The 23,021-nt window shown below is 44.2% G+C and overlaps 1 long non-coding RNA gene across 1 annotated transcript in view; it reads right to left on the bottom strand.

Annotated features, from left to right (window-relative positions):
* The window catches only part of LOC339166 (uncharacterized), a 158,463-nt gene that overhangs the window by 94,466 nt on the left and 40,976 nt on the right, over positions 1–23,021 (bottom strand). The window lies entirely within an intron of this gene.

The raw sequence follows: 23,021 nt of genomic DNA, 5'->3' as shown, positions 1-23,021 counted from the left end.
TCTGCGATCCCCCACCCTCAGTCTGTGGTTACCACTCCTTCTCCTGTCTTCAATCAGGACCTTTCACAAACAGAATCCAGGGTCCCAAGTGGAGGGCAAAGCCTCACTGAGGTGTAAAACATCCCCTCCTTGATCCAAAAGCCTACCTCAGTCCCCCATCAAGGGAGCTATGATGGTTAATTTTGTGTGTCCACTTGGCTGGGCCATGGTGCCCAGGTATTTGGTCAAACATTATTCTGGATGTTTCTGTGTGGGTGTTTTTGGATGAGTTTGACATTTAAATTGGTGGACTTTGGGTAGAGTGCCCTCCATGAGTCGGTGGGCCTCATCCAATCACCTGACAGCCTGAATAAAACAAAAGATTGCTCTCCCCCAAGCAAGAGGGAATTCTGCCAGCAGATGGTTTCAGACAAGAACTGCAACTGTGGCTCTTTCCTGGGTCTCCAGCAGGATGGCCTATCCTGTGAATTTTAGGCTTGCCAACTTCCATTATTCATGCACCTATTCCTTAAAATAAATCTATACACTGTTGATCAAAATTAAGGCTCTTGAGGCTGAAATAAATTGAAAAAGCTTTAGCAGAAGTCAAATGTGAGCATCAACCTGGGAAGACACACCAACGAATTTAGGTGTGTTCCAAAGTCTGTTACAAGTTGGAATGCCATTATAAGAACGTTTAGGAGAAGGGAGGGGGTCTTCTCATATCAGAGTTGCTCTTTTTTATTGGTGGGTTCAATTCAGAGGTTACAATCATCGGCTACAGTTTACAGCATACTGGCCAAAATGTCCTACAGCAAGACAATCAGCAAAACTTCATGCATCAGAAACAAATCAGTGTCCGTTTCAGTGTTAATAGGTTACATATTAATCAGTACATCAAAAATTTGAGGAACTCACAATAAGATTTGAGGGACTCACAATAAGATTTGTTACTCAGAGGGGCCAGGCGCGGTGGCTCACGCCTGTAATCCCAGCACTCTGGGAGGCCGAGGCGGGTGGATCATGAGGTCAGGAGATCGAGACCATCCTGGCTAACAAGGTGAAACCCCGTCTCTACTGAAAATACAAAAACTTAGCCGGGCGTGGTGGCGGGCACCTGTAGTCCCAGCTACTCAGGAGGCTGAGGCAGGAGAATGGCGTGAACCTGGGAGATGGAGCTTGCAGTGAGCCGAGATCGCGCCACTGCACTCCAGCCTGGGCGACAGAGCAGGACTCTGTCTCGAAAAAAAAAAAAAAGATTTGTTACTCAGAGACAGGATGTAAGCCATGAATCATAAGACCTTTCCCAGGTGGTTAATTTGGAAGCCTGCCAAAGGTGACCTGTAAGTTATCATTTCCCCTTTTTGATCAAAAATCTTCATGTGGAAGCACTGATGATAAATCTCCACTTAGGTTAGAGTGATAGACATTCTTTATCCCTAGGCACTGAGAAGGCTCATTCCCAGGAAGTCTCATCTCTCAATGCAAAGAAAGAACCTTGTTATTGCAGGCAGGTTGTTAGCAACATGGGGCAGAACATGACACAAGGCTATGTGCTGTTTTCCTGAATAATGAATCACATACAGTTGCTGGGTGATATTATTTTGGCCTTAGCTGTTGAGGAATAGTTTCCATATTCTGGAGAATTTGGGTAAAGAGAAAATAAGTGTCTTAATTTTGTTCACAAAAGCATACTTTACCCAATTGTTGTAAGGTGGCTCAAAAGAAGGAAAACTTTTTGACGTTGGAAAACAGAATATAAAAAGAATTAGCAATTTTTTTAAAAGTCATAAAAATCATTTTAGTCCTCTATGAGTGCAGTCCCGTGTAATTCTTGTTTTGTTTGATGTTGGGTTAGTGATCTTGATGTACAACTTTTTATGGAAGTTTTTATTTAGTCTATTATTCTTAAAGTTATCGGAAATCTGTATTCAAAAGGACTTGTTAGAGTCTCTTCCATGGAAAGCAGTTTTGGAGTATAGCTGATTGCAAATGTTTCTAGAGAAGATTTCAAAACAATAGCTCTGGCCTGTAATCCCAGCACTTTGGGAGGCCGAGGCGGGTGGATCACTTGAGCTCAGGAGTTCGTGACCTGCCTGGGCAACGTGGCAAAATCCTGTGTCTACTAAAAATACAAAAAATTAGCCAGGCGAGGTGGTGCACGCCTATAATCCTAGCTACTCGGGAGGCTGAAACAGGAGAATCGCATAAACCTGGCAGATGGAGGTTGCTGAGAGCTGAGACTGCACCACTGCACTCCACCCTGGGTGACAGGGTGAGACTCTGTCTCAATTTAAAGAAAAAAAAAAGCTATGATCACAAAAACTTTGAATAGCCATAGGTTAAATCTGATGAAAATTCCCAATTGACAAAGAAATTTAGTTATTTCCATTGCATGTAGCATTTTAAGATAACAACCACAACTATGACTGACAGTGTCATATCAGGACCATTAGACTTTTATAAATTTTATGTAATCTTTAGAATACTCATATTAATAACATAGCCATATAATTTTAGAAAAAATTAACATAATCAAAATTATGACTGATAACATATTGGGTTTTTATAATTTACATACTTTTTGGAACATTTATATCAACAACATACCCATAGATGTAACTGAAGGAAGATTAGTATCATTTATTGTCATTGTTTTCCATATAATTCACCAAATACATATATTAGATCAAAAACTGCAATTAAAACTGCAATTACTTTTGCACCAACCTAATATTTAATCCAAAAAGACTTAATTTAGGATTTTCACCCTTGGAAAATACGTCAAATATGTCAGAAGTTTCAAAACATTGGAACAAAACAAAATTACAGGTCATTGTCTTTGTAAAATAATAGTTATTTATTTAACCAGTGTGACAATCAAAAGACCTCAGGGGCCATACAGAAAGTTACATGAATATAAAACCCTTAACCCATTTACAGCTCAGTTTTCCTAAGTAATCAAGAAACCTAATAAAGGCAACACAGGAATTATCTTGACAAAATGTAAAATCTTTGGTTTTTCAGTCAGCTACCAAAAAGGTAAAGAATAACCTCCTGTGGTGTGATTGCTTCTCCTTATGAGAAGCCAATTTAGATAACCTGGAAGCCAAGCCTGATGAAAAGGATATTTAAATTTAAACAGACGCAGACACAGGAAGTGTTTCCAGGGTGATGAGTGAACACTGCATCACAGAGGAATGTAAACAAGAAAACCATTACCTTGATCAGGGGAATACATGGTTCTTTGTATGGGAAGTCTCCAAATTACATTGACCAATTCAGACACATCAAGAAAAGCCAAGAGAATGGAATCAAGTTACACTGGAGGAAAACATTGCTTTTCTAGAACTTCAAGATAAACATTTCAGCAGCAGGCCACAACATCAGAATTAGAACTAGAGAAAAAAGTTATAGGAATGGATGAAAAGGTGGAAAGAGTTATCACCCCAGCCAAGCAAAAAGATATATCTTTTCAAGAGGAGGAAAAACAGAAAGCAATGATACATGACCTGCAAATTACATGTAGCCGAGCACAGCAAAAGTTGAACTTGCAAAATATAAATCTCAGAAGTTTCAAAAAGAAAAAGATAACAGAATTAAAAATCAAAACCTCTTACAATGTCATTAAGAGCGAATCAATACTTTAAGAAAACCTTGTTCCAACATAGGGGACCAATCTTTAGAAAGACTTATAAATAATTTCCTTTTAATTATAGCCAACTTAAACACACACAAAATTTCTTTCTTAAATTCTCTTTTCATGAACCTGATACAGACCATTTATGACATGCTTACTTTATCCTACACTTCCTTTTTCTTAAATACCAAGTCATTTTACTTTAGGACAAAAAATTATTATTCAAGATTTTTTCTCACACAAAATTATTTTTTCTTTAACCTTACTTAATAAAAATATATATTTATGTCCACAACTTTCTTCACATCTCTCTCTCTCTGTCTTACTTAATGGTTCCTTTCTATCTTCTTATATCTTTCCCCTAAATCTACATTTTGAATCAACTTTTAAATAACCTCCAAATTCGACAAAATTATTTTTTCTCAGTAAAGAAAACATGTTATCCCTTTTTATGTTTTTTTCTCTTAAAAACACATCTTGTTTTTTAGGTACACTTTATATACAGAATTATACATATTATTTAGAATTTTTATTCTTAGCAACCTTACATTTTGGTGAAAACCTAGGAGGCAAGAAATCTTGAATCATCTGTCACATATCAGTAGTTTATAGATGAAAACCATTTGATAATTTTTAGAAACATGTTTCCTTCTAACATAATTTTTTCTTAATTGGAAATAACTCGGACGTTTAATAAGTAGTTATTATTTAACACAATTTTAATATTTCAAAGTACATGAAAATTGTATGTATAAGCACTTTATCCCATTTACATTTAATTTATTTATTTTAAGTTTACCCAGATTATGAGAAATGAGATATTTGACAAACCTAGGCATTATTTCAACTTATTTCTATGTTAATCATTTTCACAGCTTATGAAGATATTTCTATTTTACCAATAACTTTAAAGCTATCTTATTTATTAAAGATTTACTTAAGTCACATGAACTTGGGGAATATTGGGGCTAATTTATGAGTGAAAAGACAAGTGGATCCAAATTATATCTCTGACAAAATTGAGACCTGTTTACATGAATAAACTTTGTTTGCCCCAATAGATAATATAGTGAAGACTCTGAACTAAAATTTTGGAAATAGCAGTTTCCATGGCAGTTTTATATTTTTAAGAATCTCTTTCACTTCTTTTTTTTTTCCTTTGGTTTCAGATGAATTTAGGGTTACATTTTTAATGTTTAGCCATTATCTAGAACTGGCTGAATTCTATAAGAAAAACAAAACCTCCAAGCAACCTTGAATTAGTAATACCAGTAGCAGTGAGTTTTATCTCAAAACCAGTAGAAAACTCAGCAGATTCATAGTAGGTAGCAGAAAAAAATAGAGAAATAAAGAACTTAGAAGATTCTACATACTAACGTTAGAGTTGCAGGGTTTTGGAATAACGACTATTTGAGTTCTGAATTTTCCTTGAAGTAACTTGCCCATCAATTTACAAATGTGCACAAGAATGGGCCATAATATGTAGCCAGCTGGAGGCCTAGAAAACCTGGCATTGCCTCAACGGTTGAGAATCCCAGAGTGTTTCTCATTAACAAAGTTTAGGGATAAAAAAATTGTTTAAAAAAAATCTGTATTTTTTAATCTCAGCAGTTTTATTCTCATTCTGCAGTTGTTTCATTTGCTTCTTTTGTTTCGAATTTAAATATATTTCCCCCTTTTGAGAGAAGAAAATGTGAGCATTGTGAAATTCCAAAAATCTCTGCCTAAGAGATGTATAAAGCCAAGGGAACAAGCAGAAAGGAGTGAGTTCAGATCAGAGGGGCAGAAGAAGGGGGAGCAGGTGAAGGTTACAAAGCTTTTAGGTGCTATTGGAAGTAAGTCACCCATTCAATTTGTTTGGTTCTAAAGCCAGCTTTTTCCAATTTTGTGTTTAAATAAATCATTTTAGACATTTCAAACAAATTCCCATTTTGGCTGTTGCTGCTTATGACCATCCCGAGTTAGGTTGATCCACTTACCTAAGTACTGGCAAGGACAAGGACCATAAGGATTACACATAAAACCAGCTGGTGCAACTAGAGGACCCACTTCCCATCTTGGTTGTTTTCAGTGAGACAAGCTATGTAGTGGAGCAAGAGTGCCCTCACGCAATCAAAAAAGGAGAAAGCTAAGGAAAGGTGGTCTCACCCCAAACTCCCAGGAAACAATTCACAGAGCTCCTATTCTCCCTTGCCGTAGTACTCAACAAAAACCTTTACCTCGAATTTGTAGCAGTAACTCTCATTCTGAGAGAGTCCTCCTATGTCCTAGCCAAGGAGGAAATCAGATTCAATAAACCGGAACTTTTACTAAGACAAGAAGTTAATTGATTTCAGGAGGAACTCATTTGTAGACCTAGCAGGTGCATCCAAGCTCAAAAATGCAATGGGTTCATTGCCAGTTCCTGCCCAAAGGTTGGAAGCTGCTCCAGGTGGTCCAGGGAGGTCACTCTGAAATCCTGCCAACTATGCCATTTTGTCAACCAAAATTAAGGTTGTTGAGGCTTTGGAAGGCTTGACAAAGGCTTACTGGAAGCCAAATGTGGGGAGCAACCTGGGAAGACACACCAACAAAGTCAGTGTTCCAAGGTCTGTTTCAAGCATGTTCCAAGGTCTGTTTCAAGTTGTAATGCCTTTACAAGAAAGTTTAGGAGAAAGGAAGGCAGCTCCACATATCAGAATTGTCATTTTTTTTATTGGAGGGTACAAGACAGAGGTTACAATCCTTGGCTACGGTTTACAATATACATGCTAAAGTGTCCTGCACACAAGACAATCAGTAAAATTTCATGATTCAGAAAGAAATCAGTGTCCTTTTCAGTAGCAGTAAGCTATGTATTAATAAATGTATCGACAGTTTGAGGAACTCACGATAGGATTTGAGGGACTCAGGGGCCTGGCACGGTGGTTCACACCTGTAATCCCGGCACTTTGGGAGGCTGAGGGGGGCGGATTACCTAAGGTCAGGAGTTCGAGACCAGCCTGACCAATGTGATGAAACTGTCTCTACTAAAAAAAAATACAAAAATTAGCCAGGCGTGGTGGCGGGCACCTGTAATCCCAGCTACTCAGGAGTCTGAGGCAGGAGAATCACTTGAACCCGGGAGGCAGAGGTTGCAGTGAGCCGAGATCATGCCACTGCACTCCAGCCTGGCGGACAAAGCGAGACTCCATCTCAAAAAAAAAAAAAAAAAAAAAAATGTTCTTTAGATTCTTTACTCAGGGACAGGATGTAAGCCATGAATCATCATGAGACCTACCCCAGGAGATTGATTTGGAAGCCTGCCAAATGTGACCTGTAGGTTACCAACATCCATATCTAATCTGTATCCACATCCTATTAATCCTGTCAACTAAGATATATCTATATCTATACCTATAGCGATATCTACGCCCACATCCTATCAGTTCTGTTTCTTTGGAGAACCCTAATACAAGAGGCAACCTGAGAAAGGAGCTCTGCCCCCCACGGAAGGTGAATACTGAAAAAGATACCATCATTTATCTCTTCTCCCTACACAGATCATCATCTGGCCACTGATGTTTCAGTCAAGTGTTGAATCCATGTCCCTTGCTTTCATATTTCTCCAAGTATTTTTTTTATTATCTTAACTACTGTCACATGGACATATTAACTTTAAATATTTTGTGACAAAGAGGCCTCTTTTGGAGAATGTTCTCAGAGGGAAAGACTGCCTCTGCCTGCTTCTCGCCCCTCCTGCCTCCTTCTTGGTTGATTAGCCTTCATCTCATGATCTTCCATTCTGGCTCCCCATGGTAATATGCCCATCCTTAATTCTAAACAGAGACCCCCTTGCTCACTCAGTTTCATGATGAATTGATGAGTGACCCTGTTTCACCAAGACACCAACACTACAAGGGTAACTTTCTAGCACTTGCCTCAAAACAACTCCTCCTGCAGCCTATGGGACCGTCACAAAGCTATCCAATGACCCCTCCTCCTCTTTTATCCAGACTTTTGTCTAGACTGAAGTCACTGCAGAACAGCCCAGAGTCAGAGTATACTTCATTGTCCTTGCCCATAAATGCTCCACCTGAGTTTTTAAAGTCTCCTCGCCCATCAGACCTCACTCCCTTCCCCTCAAAGTCTTCGATGCTCTTCTTCTGAGATGCTCCTGAACGGTGTTCCTGAACTGTCTTCATGTCCCGAACTCCAGGTTTATTCTGCTTGTATTCTTCATGTAAATTTGATCTTACTGAACAAAACATAATCTTAAACCAATTCCAGTAATTGCCCCCATTCCTCTCCGAAAGTTTCCAGCATTAGGTTGTGCTCATAGCACACCAACAGTGTCTGATACGCAGCTCAAGAAACATTCATTGAATAAATGAATACACTCGTATCCAAAACCCTTCTGGTTGACACTGATTTTAGCAGTTAAATTCTGACATGTCTAGGCATGATTTTCTTATTTATTCTCTTTCAGGCTTGCTAAGATTCATGAATTTGTAAATGTATGTCCTCATCTCCAAACTTTGGAAGATTTGTGTGGTTATTTCCTATCATGGTTTTTATCTGGTTTTCTCCTTGGGACTCCAATTATTTATAAGTTAGAGAGTTTTATATTTCCCCTATAAGTCCCTGAAGCTCTTCTTTTTTTTTTTCATCTTTTTTCTTTTTTCCTCAGATTTAGTCATTTGTATTAATCTGTCTTCAAGCTCACTGACTCTTCCGTCACTTCCTTTCTGCTAATAAGTCCACCTAGTGAATTATTTATTTTATATAATTGTTTTTTAGTTCTAGAATTTGTATTTTGTTCTTTTTCTATAGGCTCTATATTTCTGTTAAGATTTCCCTTTTTTAAATCCATTATAACCACGTTTCCCATAATTGTAATACAACTACAGTTGTAGTTGCTTTAACTCCTTTGTGTGATAATTTCAGTCTCTAGGTCATGACCTCTATTGACTGTCTTTTCCTTTGAGAATTGGTCCCATTTTTGTGTTTTTTCATACGTCAAATACTTTTGGATTATACCCTAATTTTGTGGATTGTTACATTGTTGAGACTCTGGATTCTGTCATATTACTCTGAAGAGTGTTAATGTTTTTATTTAACAGGCATCGAACTTGTTGAGTTTCAAACTACAAACTCTATCTCATCTGAAGTGGGCAGCAGATCTAATTTCATTTCAGGTGTTTTGGCCTTAGCTGCAAGCTTCTTTGGGTCTGCACCATGCATGCACAACTCAGGGATCAGCCAGAGACTTGGGTAGAATTTATTCACAGAACTTGGGGCTCTTTTCTCTGCTTATTTCCTTTCTGGAATTCATTCCCTCATTTTCTAGCAGCTGTCCTCTGTCTCTGTCCTCTGGTTCTTCAGGCCAGAAAGAGAGTGGGCTTTCTATCAGAATATTCGATGCTCTGTGCTGTGTCATGACCGTAGCTTCCTTCAAATCAAAAGTCATCAAAAGGGGAAACCCACTTCACGCTAGTCCCTTCTTCCAAGTTTCAAATACGCTACACAATCTGCCTGTCTTTGTTCACTACTCAGAGCCTTTCAGATTTCTATATTTTATCCAGGGTTTATGGTTATTACCTGAAGGAGGGTCAGTCTATTAGGAGTCTATTAGCAGTGTACTCCACCATACTGGAGAAGAACCAACACACAATCAATACATTGACTTTAGAATAATGTTCAGCATTTTCAGTTCATTTATACACATATTTATTTGTAGTGCAGACTCAAATACCATCAAAACTATAATTTTTATGTATTTTTTGTTTACTAATTGGGAACCAAGAAATAATGACAGATGGGTAGACAAGAGTTACATTGAGAACTTTCAACAGCAGAAAGCTACAGCAATTTGAGAAATTCTGGAATTTCCTTGTAGCCAAGAAAACAAAGGAAATTATATGGATTTCATGTGTTTCAGAGTATAGTAATGGGAAATCTGCAAGTCCACTGAGGAATTCACTTCCCTGGTCCTGAACTCAATGGAGCGATGTGTCATCTCCTGTCAGTAGTGATACTCGTATATACTGAGTTACTCATTATTTGTTTTAATCCTGGGATTTAAGTGTTAAATGAAATTACTCAAGTAAAGAATTTTTCATAGTGCAGATAGCAAAGATAACAATGGTGGTGTTGGTAGCAGTAAGATAAACTCTACTTTTATCTTATCTTTGTAAAGGAGAACCCATTTCACCTCCTGACAGATTTCAACCCAGTATGTCAGTGACTCCTAAGTCAGAATGTCACTCACTCGATTTGGCTCCAGTGGGAAACTGTCTCCAAAAAACCAGCAAACCCATCATCCTGGAGGCAGAACACTGTCTGCATTCTGGCCAGGCTCTGGGCATCAGGCCTCCCTGCCCCTCAGACACTTCACCAGCGCAAGCACCCAGGAAAGGCCTAGGAGCCGACTGGGGAACAGCCTCAGGGTCCTCCAGTCAATCTCCACATAAGTGCTGCAAGCTTTGTTCTGAGGAATTAATCAGAGGAGAAATGATCTGGAGAAGGCGCCTGGGGAATGAGGGAAGCATGACACACGTTAATCAGCCTTGCGTGTGGAGCTAGGGTCACCTTTCACGCACAGTCCCTGTGTCCCAGAGCCCTCTCCTCAACCCCACCAGAGGCCACCAAGCAGGGTGTGGGCTGTCAGCTGTGTCTCCAGCCCTGGGGGAGGAGGAGGCTCCGCAGAACCATCCACATCCCCTCATGTGAGAGTCAGCTGGCTGAGCTTGTGCTTGGCACTCTGCCTGGGGAAGGGTCAAAGGCAAAGGCTAGTCTATGTTTATGATGAGGGCTTCACTGGTGACCACAGTCAGGATTTATGCCGAGGTCACGGGTAGAGGTCAGTACGTGGTAAGGATTAGGGATGAGTATATAGCAAGGACCAGAGCAGTCTGTGGCCAGTCCGCCTGTGGCTCTGTCTGTGATCAGAATAAAAACTAAGCTTATATTCATGGCAAGGGCTCAGCTGAGGGTCAGAGTCACGGTGCCAGGAACCCTGATTAAAAACCTAGCACCTCTGAAGTTCTCTCAGCCAAGAAGGAAGTCAGTTCATGTGAGGGAGCTCAGGTGCTCATTTCTCAGAAGCTACATGTGCTGTGTCTCCCAGGTAACTGCAGACTAAGGAAAACTGCATCATAATCACTTAGAGATGTTTGTTTCAAAGGCAGATGCTGCAGCCCCGCCCAATAACCATGAACCTGGGAAGCTGAAATTCAATGAGTTTCCCAGCGATTCTGATGCACTCTAAATTTGAGACCCTCTGCTTCAGCTCCCCCAAAGCTTTCCTTCCAAGGAGCTCTCCAAGGCGGCATTCCTTACAGCCTCAGGGCATCTATGTGCAATCCCAAGCCCCTTTCCCACTTTAGATTTGGGGCTGTGGCAGATGCAGCGGTTCCCTCCCTGCCACCTGCCAGCACAAGGCTGAGCAATGTAGATATGCCTCAGAAGTCATCTATGTCCTCCTTTGGTGATAGTGACGGTGGCACCTTAGGATTTGACTATGTGCACCCCTGGCTGGCTTCTCCCCATCACAGACAGCAGATCCTACGTGATAGTAATAGCAATCATAAATAATAGCAACTCACATTTATGTGACACTTACTATGCCAGTAATACATGAGCATACAGTAATACATAAGCTACATGTATTAGCTCAACTAATCCCCACAACAACCTCTGAGGTAGGTACTATCATTGTTCCCTTTTCACAGATGAGGAAACTGAGGCCCAGAGAGGTGAAGAAACCTGACTAGGGCCACAAGGCTAAAGAGAGGCAGAGCCCAGACTGATCCCGGAGCATGCCCTCTTATCCGTGATGCTCTAGGCCATGGCAGATAATCCATGGTATTGTTCCCCCAAAATGTGACTATTTCTTAAAACAGGCATTATAATAAGTACTGTCCCCACTAACTCCAGCTGTTCTCCCTCAATGCTTAATCAAACTCTAAATGTATCTTATCTTTGTAAAAGGGAAACCGTGCCTTTTCCTCACCTGAATTTCTCAGAGATATGGGAAAACTTCAGGCCTTGCATCTAATTTCTGGATGTAGACAGAGATGCTTGCTTTCTCTCTTGCCTCTTCTCCTGCATCTCTGATACCTGCCTCAAGAACCCGCTCCCTGCATAGCCTTTTCCAACAGCAGGACCAGGAAAGGAATTCAAGACAGAATCCATGCTCCCCAGGCCTGGCCCTCAAGCCTCTCCTACAGCACAGGCATGAAAGGGGCTCCTCGTCAGATCTGGCATCTTACGACCATGACAAGCCTCTGCAGAAACGGCTTCCTAAAGTAACATTGCTCCGAGTTCAAGTCCAGCCTGGCCAACATAATGAAACCCTGTCTCTACTAAAAATACAAAAAATTAGCCAGGTGTGGTGGCAGGTGCCTGTAGTCCCAGCTACTCGGGAGGCTGAGGCAGAATGGTGTGAACCCGGGAGGCGGAGCTTGCAGTGAGCCGAGACCACACCACTGCACCCCACCCTGAGTGACAGAGTGAGACTCCATCTCAAAAAAAAAAGAAAAGAAAAAGAAACATTGCTCCTTTTCCTCTGTATCATTGGAGACATTGGACATAATTGGGGTAAACAGGGGCTTCCCTCTGAACCTAGGCCACCCAATGGGAAACTGACAGTTCCCTTATAAGGGTCACGCTTAGCCACTTGGAATTTGGCTTTTTGCCCTCTGGTTGGTGATTTTAAGACATGAAAGAAAATGCCATTTATTTCACTGTTAAATATGCATTTTAAAGCAAAGTTATATATATACATAATTTAAAAATTCAGGCTGGGCACAGTAACTAATGCCTGTAATCCCAGTGCTTTTGGAGGCTGAGGTAGAAGCATCACTTGAGGCTAGGAGTTTGAGACCAGCCTGGGAAATATAGTGAGACCCTGTGTCTACCCAGAAAAAAAAAAAAAAAATTAGCCAGGTGTGGTGATGCATGCCTGTGGTCCCATCCACACAGGAGGCTGAGGTGGGAAGATTGCTTGAACCCAGGAGTTTGAGGCTGCAGTGAGCTATGATCATGCCACCTCACTCCAGCCTGGGTGACAGAGAGAGACCTTGTCTCAAAAAAAAAAAAAGTCAAAGGCTGTAGAAGGGCTTATGATGACAAGCAACCCCATCTCCTCCCCACCCCCAGGTGATACATAGTTTCCAGTGACAGGGAAGTGCTGGGAAGGGAAGAGCACGGTCCCTTTAAATAATACGGAAGTGGGGAAGGGAAGTGCTGCGTAGAGGAGGGCGTGGTCCCTGGCTAGGGCTCCACCCTCACAGACCTAGGTAAGGACAGGCATTTCCTGCCCAAATGTTGCATTTCCCAAGACCATCCTGGCCTACCACGCCCCCATCCTGGGCCTATAAAAACCTGAGACCCAGGTGGGCACGTGGTGGCTCATGCCTGTAATCCCAGCACTTTGGGAGGTCGAGGCGGGAAGATCACCTGAAGTGGGGAGTTCAAGACCAGCCTGACCAGGCTGAAGCAGGAGAATTGCTTGAACCTGGGAGGTGGAGATTGAGGTGAACCGAGATCGCACCATTGCACTCCAGCCTGGGCAACAAAAGCAAAACTCCACCTCAAAAAAAAAAAAAAAAACCTAAGACCCTATCGGGCAGACAGGCAGACGTTGAGAGGAGCACATGGGTGGAAGAGACAAGCAGCTGGATGTCCTTGAGAGGACATGGAGAGGAGCACACCAGTGGAAGAACACACGGTCAGGCACCAGCACCCTGGCCGGCCATTGACCAGCAAAACAATGCGGAGCTGGGATGGAGCAGTCCGAGAAGAGTGGGGCGTCCACCTGGCCCGACTCCAGGGGAAAACCATCTCCCTTCTGGCTCCTTCATCTGCTGAGAGCTACTTCCTCTCAATAAAACCTTGCACTCATTCTCCAAGCCCACGTGTGATCCGATGCTTGTGGTATACCAAGGCAAGAAACTGTGGGATACAGAAATCTCTCTGTCCTTGTGATAAAGCAGGGGCTCTAATTGAGTTGGTTAACACAAGCCGCCTATAGACGGCAAACTAAAAGAGCACCCTGTAACACACGCCCACTGGGGCTTCAGCTGTGAACACTCACCCCTAGACACTACCATGGGGTCAGAGCCCCCACAGCCTGCCTGTCTGTATGCTCCCCTAGAATTTCAGCAGTGAGGCACTGAAGAGGTGAGCCACACCCCCAATGCACACCCTGCGACGGGGACAGGGGAACCTTGCCCGTTTGACCAGGACTCAGGAAATGCTTGTTGATTGACACCTTAATATTTCTACTTATCAGCTCAGAACCTAATGATGTAGAAGTGGAGCTTTTCCTCTTTCATTTTATTCAACATCACTTGTGAAATGTGGGGTTTATGCTGGGTGGAGGAATAAGACAAAGATGAATTAAACATGGTCTTCCCACCTTGAAATCATCTTTGTCTAGCGGCCGGAGGGCTGGGCATTGGGCATTAAAACGGATATTTATAACGCCAGAAAGAAGGACATAACTGGCAAAATACAAGTACCAGTGAGTATTTTGGGAATCCAGTGAAAGCTCCCAGGGGCTTAGGATGGGAGGAGTTGGGTGGGGCATGGGCCGCTGGGCACCAACATTTCAGCCAAACCTTGAAGAATGGTAGGGAAGACATGAGCCAGTTCTTGTAAGTGGAAAATTTCTGGAATGCTGGGGGAAAGCATGCTGGAGTCCAGACCAGAGAGGGCCAGAAACTCTATGACCTTCATCCTCCATCCCCTGGGGAGCCGTATTTCAAAGGGCCTAGATTTCCTCATCTATTAGATGGGAAAAATAATACCAGCCAGATTACATGAGTTAACACACATAGAGTACTTGCCACAGTGTCTGGAAAATAATCAACTCAATAGATCTTAGCTAAGAACCCTAATTCCTTCCTGCATCCCCCACCCCACCTACCACAGACATTCCTGACTGCAGTCCCTTTTCCCCCCAAGTTCAAAACAGCAGACTGTCTCACCAAGATCCTCACCTGAGCTAAAGGAGGTGCTTGTTACCGGAAGGCACTGGCATCTGAGAACAGGCAGGGCCTGTGCTCCAGGAAGTCTCTTTCCAGGGGTGTCTGGTGCATGTCTGCTCAGGAACCCCTACCTGCAGGACTGCCTCCCCAGTGACAACTAGTTCGGGGCTTCTAAAGCAGATGCACAGGTCTGAACCCATGAGGTGGTGTCTGCACAGATAAGTATTCCCTCTGCGCAGCTTCCATGAAGGCTGGTTGGAAGAGTGATTTTTTTGCAAGTGGTATGTTAGCTTCATGGAGTTGCTGCCTTTAGTCTTTGTCTTCTTATTAGAACTACTGGTTTGACCTCAACCCAAAGCTCCAGGTATGAGTCAGACTGTGTACCCTGCCCCTCCCCAGCATGGCATAGGGAGAGAGAGAATGACTCGTAGGTCTGGCAGGTCCCTAAAAGTGACCTCGTCTGATCAATGAGGCGATGACTGACTAACCTCCCTCCTAGGAGACTGTCTAGTATCTGCTAGCATACCTCCAGCGATGGGGGTCTCACCACCACTCCAACCCCATCATTCCATAGGTGAATAGCTCAGACTGAGACAAATCTTTTATGTTGAGCCGAAATCTATCCATCTGGGGAAGGGTTAATGAGACAATCGCTAGGCCCTCCTTGTCAGCCCTCCCGATTCCTGCTTCCCCCACTCCCCCACTCTGCCTAGAAGCATTAATTCCATTATCAAACGGTCAGCCCTGGGGAATGAACTTTTAAAGGCTTAAAGCAAGGTAGGTTAATTAAAATCTTTGATCAAAGTCCCATAAACAGCATAAAACTCCTCTCTCTTAATTATCCTGGATGGTCTTACAAGCATTAAAGCCAAAGGGGAGAAGATGAAGAGGCAGGGAGGCGAGGAGCTGGGAGGAGAATATTCCAGAAAGCAACAGCCCCAGGCCGAGGCCACCAGATTGCTGCTGCCATCAGGGCCCCACACTGGGCAATCCAGGGGAAGCCAAGAAACCTACCCTTGCTTAGCTAACATTTACCCACAAAGCACTTCCTAGATCAGTTGCTCTGCCAGATGCCAGGAGTAGTGGAAGAAATACCCAGATCCTCCCCTGAGAAGGGGCCAGGGTCCTCTGGGAGAGACCCCAAGAAGAGCAGGCAGGCGGGAGGAGACTGCATAGCGGGAGTTCCTGGCCCAGCCCGGGAGGGTCAAGGAAGGCCTCCAGACGAGGCGGCCTGGAGCTGGGACTGTGTGCTGGAGTCAGTGATCTAAGTGTCAGGCAGAGTGGAGCAGCCTGGAGGTGAGGAGGTGCTGGGTAGGAGTGGGAGGAGGGCTGTCGAGTAGGCAGTGGTAAGAGATAGAGAGGGGAGCAGGGTGGGGGCACGGAGCACATGGTGTTGAGGACAGTTTCCAGAGGCAGTGGGGATCACCGAGCTGTTTGAGTATCTCTCCAGTCTCATCTCTCACCACTGCCTAATAGAAAGGCCAGTCTACATCGTAGGGAGAATGGGTGGGCATGGGGAGAGCGAGCCGGGGGAAGGAAGCCCAGGTTGCTGACATTGTCCAGGTGAGAGAAGGTACTGCCCAATCTCAGGTAATGGCAGGAGAGGGGGTGAGGGGGGAGAAGTAGATGGATTCGAGAGATGTTTGGGACAAGTCAGCAGAATCCAGGTGATGGCCAGGCTTCCTTCTGAGGTGTCTGGGTGGGCGATGGCCCTCACTGAGAAGGAGAGTAGGTTGAGGGCTGGAGGTTTAGTTTTGGACACTTTGGGTGTGATGGGCCAGTGATCAACTCACATTCCCACCTCTCCCACCCACCCACCCTCAACTAAAACCCTTGATGACTACCCACATCTCTCAGGAAGAAGTCCAGAATGCTCAGGAGGGCTCTCTGGGCCCCACTGGACCTGGCCCAGGGCTCTCCCTGCAGGCTTACACTGCGCCTTCCCTTCCTGGCCAGCTTCTCTCCAGCCATAAGGACACTTGGTCTGATCTATAAGTGCCCCAGGCAGCTTTCTACCTCAGGGCCTTTGCACATTCTCTTCCCTGGGACTGGAATGCTCCTTCTCTCCGTCTCTCCCTCCACTCATTCTTCAGGCCTCACTTTTATCATCTGACTCACAAGGAAGGCTTCTCTGACTTCACCCCATCAAGGACCAGAGAGCTGGTTAAAAGTACAGACTCCCTAGCCCCACTCCACTCTATGCCCAGATTCTGATTCAGCAGCTCCTGATGGGGGCCTAGGATTCTGCATTTTAGCAAGCCTCCCAGGTGGTTCCAAAGCCATAATCCACAAACGAAGATCTGAGAAGCCCTGCACTGCAACGTCCTGCCTCCCCTGGCAGGAAACCTCAGCCACTGCGTAGCTCAGAGGGCAGCCATGGAGCCTCAGCTGCACCCTCCACTCTCCATATTCTCCATTCCATTTGACATACATGTCAATCATTAACATGATATGATGTTGATTGTAAAAATACTTTTAGATGTGAGAAACTCATGCTTTTGTAGACTTATGTAAAATATTAATAAGAGCATCCTTAGAAAACTCTGCTATTTTTATTGATCGGTATTAACACACAATCCAAATAAAATCAACATCCTTTCTCTGGAATTACAACTTCAAAGGACTACTCTGGCCCTCACCTCCTAATCAGATGGTTCTCCTTCCACCTCTGTGTATAGAAATTCTGACATGATGATGTTGAAATTTCCCTAAGCCCTGTGTTTTGCAAAAACAGTGATGGTTAAGAAGTACCCACATCCCTTCTGTGTTTGGGAAAACAGCTCACTGCAAAGAACCACCCTCCCCCATATGACTTAGATAAGACTAGCGAATGACCACCTTGTTAACCCGGGACAAGGCCAGACACGGACTTTCTAAATTCCCATTCTTTTTCTCATAAATGGTTGGCTGAATTGTTTGTCCTCCTGAAGCCAGCTAGACAGAGAGAAACATTTTCTGTTCAGCTGATTGATGAAGACTCTCTGAATACAAAAACAATCCTAACTGTAATATCACCCTACCTATAACTTGGCTATTCCTCCCTCTAAACGTCTATAAACCACCCTGAAGACACACTCTCATCTTCGGATCTCGGGTGCGCTCCATATTACATAAATAAAATCCATTTCCCTATGTGTTTGGTTTTGTCTTTGACAGGCACCACCACAGTTGGTATCTATATTTTGAGAAGATGGCTGACTGCCAAAATCAGAACAGGGAACAGGGACAAGGTCCCATGATGACCTCCAATTGGACCACTGGTTATTGCCTAGAGATGGGGGTTTCTGTGTCCAGGGGTCAAGGGCTATGTGAGCCTTTCTCTGAGTTCAGCAGTGAAGGGATGATGGGGCAGGTTGGGGAAGGCAAGGCATGGCACAGCAGGGGATCATGGGAGGAAAGGGTTCCGCAGACCCAAAGAAGCAGGGGCCAAGGGTCCAGACCTCCCTCTAGGCAGGTCCATTTCTAAGCACCCTGCAGCCAGGGCAGAGGCTGTGTGGCTGCTTCCTCTGGCAGTCACAGACAAATGGGAAATCAAAGCTTTCCTGAATCGCCACCATCCTATCTCAAATCCTGTATTGTGTCTGGCCATAGGAGTCTGCAGCCACCAAGAGAAGGTTCTGAATGAACGATACTCACTCTTCCCTGTCTTTGCTCAGGCTGCTTCCTCCACCTCAAATAAGCCTGCCCCTTCTCTTCAGGTCCTGCCCACTCTTGTAGGACTGATTCAAACACCTCCTCCTCCAGGAAGCCCTCCTGGCTGTTTCCCCATCTGAAATCTGAAATCTGGGGACTGTTCCTCCTCCAGTCCTCAGTTCTCCAATAGCACTGCAGTCTAGCCTTTACCAACATCTGCTGAGTCCCGTGAGGCAGCATTGCAGAGTGGGAAACCAGCAGGTCTTGGAACCAGAATGTGGGTTCAAATCTCCACTTAACTTCTAGGTGCCCTGTGGCCTTGAGCAAGTTGCTCAATTCCCACTGAGCCTCTGTTTTCTTGTCTGTAAAATGGGGATGACAAGCCATACAGGACCACCTGGGGATCTTGTTTGGCTAGGCATTCAGATTCAGGGGCCTGGGATGAGCCTGATTGTCTTTCTAAGAAGGTCTCAGGCAAAGCTGCAGCTACTGGTCCAGGGCCACACTTCCAGTAGCAAGACATCTTACATCCAGTTCCTGTGAGGAACACAGAGAGTGCTTTAAAAGGCCAAGCTCATATTAGCAGCTAAATAAGTGGGAGGCTTTATTAATACTATTATCATCTCCATCACCTGTGCCTGACATGCAGCTGGTGCTGGAAATAATGGTAGCTAGTTATCTCCCCTGCTACCTGCAAGTGTCTGGAGGGCAGGAAACGTGCCTAATTCCTCCATCAAAATGCCTTGCGCGTAGAAAGCTAAAAACCACGCTGCTGTGAAGGAAACAGCAAAGTCGCTTCTATCAGTCTTTGCAAAGGGGTCTGTCCTGTGTTCTGTGCATGACCGAGGAGAGACGCTGCCCACCGTCTGCCACACCCCAACCACTCTGTCCTGTAGGCCGAGTGCCAGCTTCCCCCAAAGCCTCCATCCTCAGAAGCCAGTTTCTCACGGAAAATGAGCTCCCTGCCTCCGCGCATCTGTACACTGAGGAAAACAGTTGGCTTCATAACCTTGAGGGGGAAAAAAGACAAATAAAGGAGTCTCCAGAGATTTATCAGAGACCACAGGAAGCTGTAAAACATATGTTGCAGCATATTGATCTTTGACAAACTCCAGCAACAGAGGAAGTCCTTTCCCGCCTACACTGCCTAATGAGGACCTAGGGGCAGAGTCCTCCTCCCCTCTCCCCCTAGCAGGGTTCCATCTGTGAGCCTCCATCTCAGGCCTGTCAAGCCGGCTGGAGATGAATCCACACCCAGCTGAGAGCCCCTTCTGCCTCCAAGGCCCTGAGATGCAGGTGCGAAGCCCATGCGCCAGCATTCCCAGCCCTCAGTGGCACAGCCCAGTTTGTTCCCCGGGTGCTTTGGAGCCCTGCCTTCAAGAGCCATGAGGTTACTTAGGTCCATTGCCCCAGAAATGGGTAGGGCAGTTGCAGCTTGGAACAAGTACTTCTCTACCCTGGTTACCCATTTGAATCCCTTCGGGAGCCTTAAAAATATATGGATGCCTGGAACCCACTGTCAGGAATTCTGAATTCTGGGGTGCTGCCTGAGCATCAGGGTTTTTAAAAGCTCTCCAAGTGATTCTAATGAGCACCCCACAGTGCAAACCCAGGAATAAGTGTATTGCTCATATTTTACTTTCAAAATGGAGCTTTTAAAGACCTCCCTGTAACAATAGTCAAAGTATTTTTTATTTGCAAGAGAAAGAGTTTTCTTTGCAAATGCCATCAAAACAAAAAAACAAAACAAAGCCAAAGCCTCTAAAGCCAAGATCACAGAGTTGAGAGGATGCTAAACAGGAGGCGAGAGCAGTTTTTCCACTCAAAAACAAATCAAATTCTCTTAGAAGAAGAGAGAAATTTGGCCGAGCACAGTGGCTCACGCCTGTAATCCCAGCACTTTGGGAGGCCGAGGTGGGTGGATTGCTTGAGGTCAGGAGTTCAAGACCAGCCTGGCCAACATGGTGAAACCCCATCTCTCCTAAAAATACAAAAATTAGCTGGACGTGGTGGCGTGCACCTGTAGTCCCAGCTACTCAGGAGGCTGAGAAAGGAGGATCACTTGAACCCAGGAGGCAGAGTTTGCAGTGAGCCGAGATCACGCCACTACTCCAGCCTGGGCAACAGAGTGAGACTCCATCTCAAAAAAAAAGGAAGAGAGAAATTTGAAAGATCAAGCAAGGTGGCCATAGATTTTTCCTTGGCCCCCAGAAAAGGCTGGGAGCAGAGTGTCTTTTGTCTGCTTCCCACCCAGAACCCTGGCAGCCACTGAGAGGAATGAGGGGTGATATCAAGAGAGTACAAGTGGTAGCTGAGAAGGGGGTGTGGAGGAACCCTCTTCCTGAGTTGTTCTCACCTCCTGTGTGGTTCAGAGACCCGGCCGGGCTGGACTCTAAAGACTGTTATTGCAGTCCAACCTCCCAGGCCTCTGCAGCTCCTATTCCAGCCAGGGTGGGGTCTGGACAGCAGGGAACACTACTAGCAGCAGCAGCAGCAGCAGCAGACACAGCCGGTGCAGAGGCTGCCCCCAAGGACCAAGGTGCCAAAGAGTAGTATCGAGACCAAAGGAATGGGAGTGGGTGCAGGAGGTGAGACCGTGTCACCTGGAAGTGACTGAGCAAGAAGTTACTTTGAATAAAAAATTGGCTTGTTTCTGCTGAGTGGAAATGGTAGAAATTCAGGACCAAGCTAAGCTTGGTTATAAAAAAAAAATGAAGAAAGTTACATTTCTGCTGCACATCTGAGTGTAACTATAAATCTTAAATCCACTGTGAGGTCCATTCAGAAATGAAGAAATATACACGGCCAATGAATAGGAAGAGATGCTCAGCCTCAGCAGTAATCCAAGAAACACAAATCAAAACACTGGCAATGCACCATTTGGGCCTCTCGGCTGGGAGGCATTTTAAAATCTAATACCTGTATCAGCAAAGGTAAAGAAGCCAGGTTCTGACAAATTGATGGTGAAATGCACGTTATCTTTCTGAGGGACAACTGGGTAATAAGAATTAAAAGAATTCTAAGTATACTTTTGGTGTAGCAATTCTAGGAATTGATCCTGAGGAAATAATCAAGAATCACAGAAAACTTTGGGAGCTTTAAAAATATACAGATGCCTGGAACCCGCCGTCAGGAATTCTGAATTCTGGGGTGCTGTTAGAGGGTTGTCCATTAGAGTTTCTATCATGATCCTGAAAAATCAGTGGACAAAACCCAAATAGCCAATGACTTAGGGCTGGACAAAAATACACTACACTGTAAAATATTTCAAGAAATAATATGAACCATTACAATAATTTTTTTTTTTTGAGACGGAGTTTCGCTCTTGTTGCCCAGGCTAAAGTGCAGTGGCGCAATCTCGGCTCACCGCAACCTCCACCTCCCGGGTTCAAGCAATTCTCCTGCCTCAGCCTCCTGAGTAGCTGGGATTACAGGCATGCACCATCACGCCCGGCTAATTTTGTATTTTTAGTACAGACGGGGTTTCTCCATGTTGGCCAGGCTGGTCTCAAACTCCCGACCTCAGGTGATCCACCTGCCTCAGCCTTCCAAAGTGCTGTGATTACGGGCATGAGCCACCATGCCCAGCCCCATTAAAATCATTTTAGAAATATGTTTAGAGACTTGGAAAGGTGTTCACATTAAGATTAAAAATAGTGTGTTTATTGATTTCCAATCATTGCATACATATATAATATAGTGAGAAAGAATTAATATATATGAAGTAATGGAAGGACCTACCTCTGTAATATTAACAATCATTTTTCCTAAGTAAGAGCATTATTACTGTGGTTACATTTATTTTCTTTCTTTCTTTCTTTCTTTTTTTTTTTTTTGAGACAGAGTCTCCCTCTGTCACCCAAGCTGGAGTGCAATGGCATGATCTTGGCTCACTGCAACCTCCGCCTCCCGAGTTCAAGTGATTCTCCTGCCTCAGCCTCCCAAGTATCTGGGACTACAGGTGCACACCACCACACCTGGCTAATTTTTGTATTTTTAGTAGAGACAGGGTTTTACCACATTGGCCAGGCTGGTCTCAAACTCCTGACCTCAGGTGATCCACCCGCTTCAGCTTCTCAAAGTGCTGGGATTATGTGTTATTTTCTTAATTATATTTTCTAATTTTGCTACAGTAAACATGTATTATTTGTAATTTTAAAAAGTTAAAGTTGGCGCAGGTTAAACACATGCATTTAGCACTGCTCTATCTCAAGCCTCACTAAAATAACAATAAAAGGATTTCTTTTAAGTCATAAGCCCATTAGGTTTTAAAAGGTAAGTGAAAGGATATAACTACAACAAAATTTTGGAAGCAGGAAAGCAGCTGGAGGAGCAGTTGGAAGGGCTGTAACTAAGAAATCTGCTTCTCAATCAAGAGTAAGAAAAGCCAACAGGCAACCTGGATTACATCTCAGACCACCTGCCCCCACTACCATAGTCTGCTGGAAATGTAGATTAACATGTGACAGAAACAAAGCCATTAGTTGAGAGTCTGTGTAAGAAGATCGCAAGTCCCTTTTTCCTCACCCCTGCAGAGAACTGAAGCTTTAGTCTCTGGAAGGTCTATTCTCTAGGGAAAGGAAAAAAAATAGAGGCACTGAAGCACCCCAGATACAGCAGAGAGCAGGGAGAATTAGTAAAGGTTTGCAGACTCAGTGCGGAACCCCACCTCCCAGACTTCTTCTCGCCCTCAGCTCCCAGATTGCTAGGCAGGACATGGAAATGATCTCCAGGTCATCTGACAATCTCCAAAGGAAAAACCTAGAGATACCAACATTGAGATGCCCAGAGACCAGCTACGTGAAGCTCACAATTGA

Source organism: Homo sapiens, chromosome 17, assembly GCF_000001405.40.
Source record: "Homo sapiens chromosome 17, GRCh38.p14 Primary Assembly".
In the NCBI taxonomy this organism is placed as follows: Eukaryota; Metazoa; Chordata; class Mammalia; order Primates; family Hominidae; genus Homo; species Homo sapiens.
Note: the sequence above shows the minus strand (reverse complement) of the source record. Positions and strands in the feature narration are given on the sequence as shown.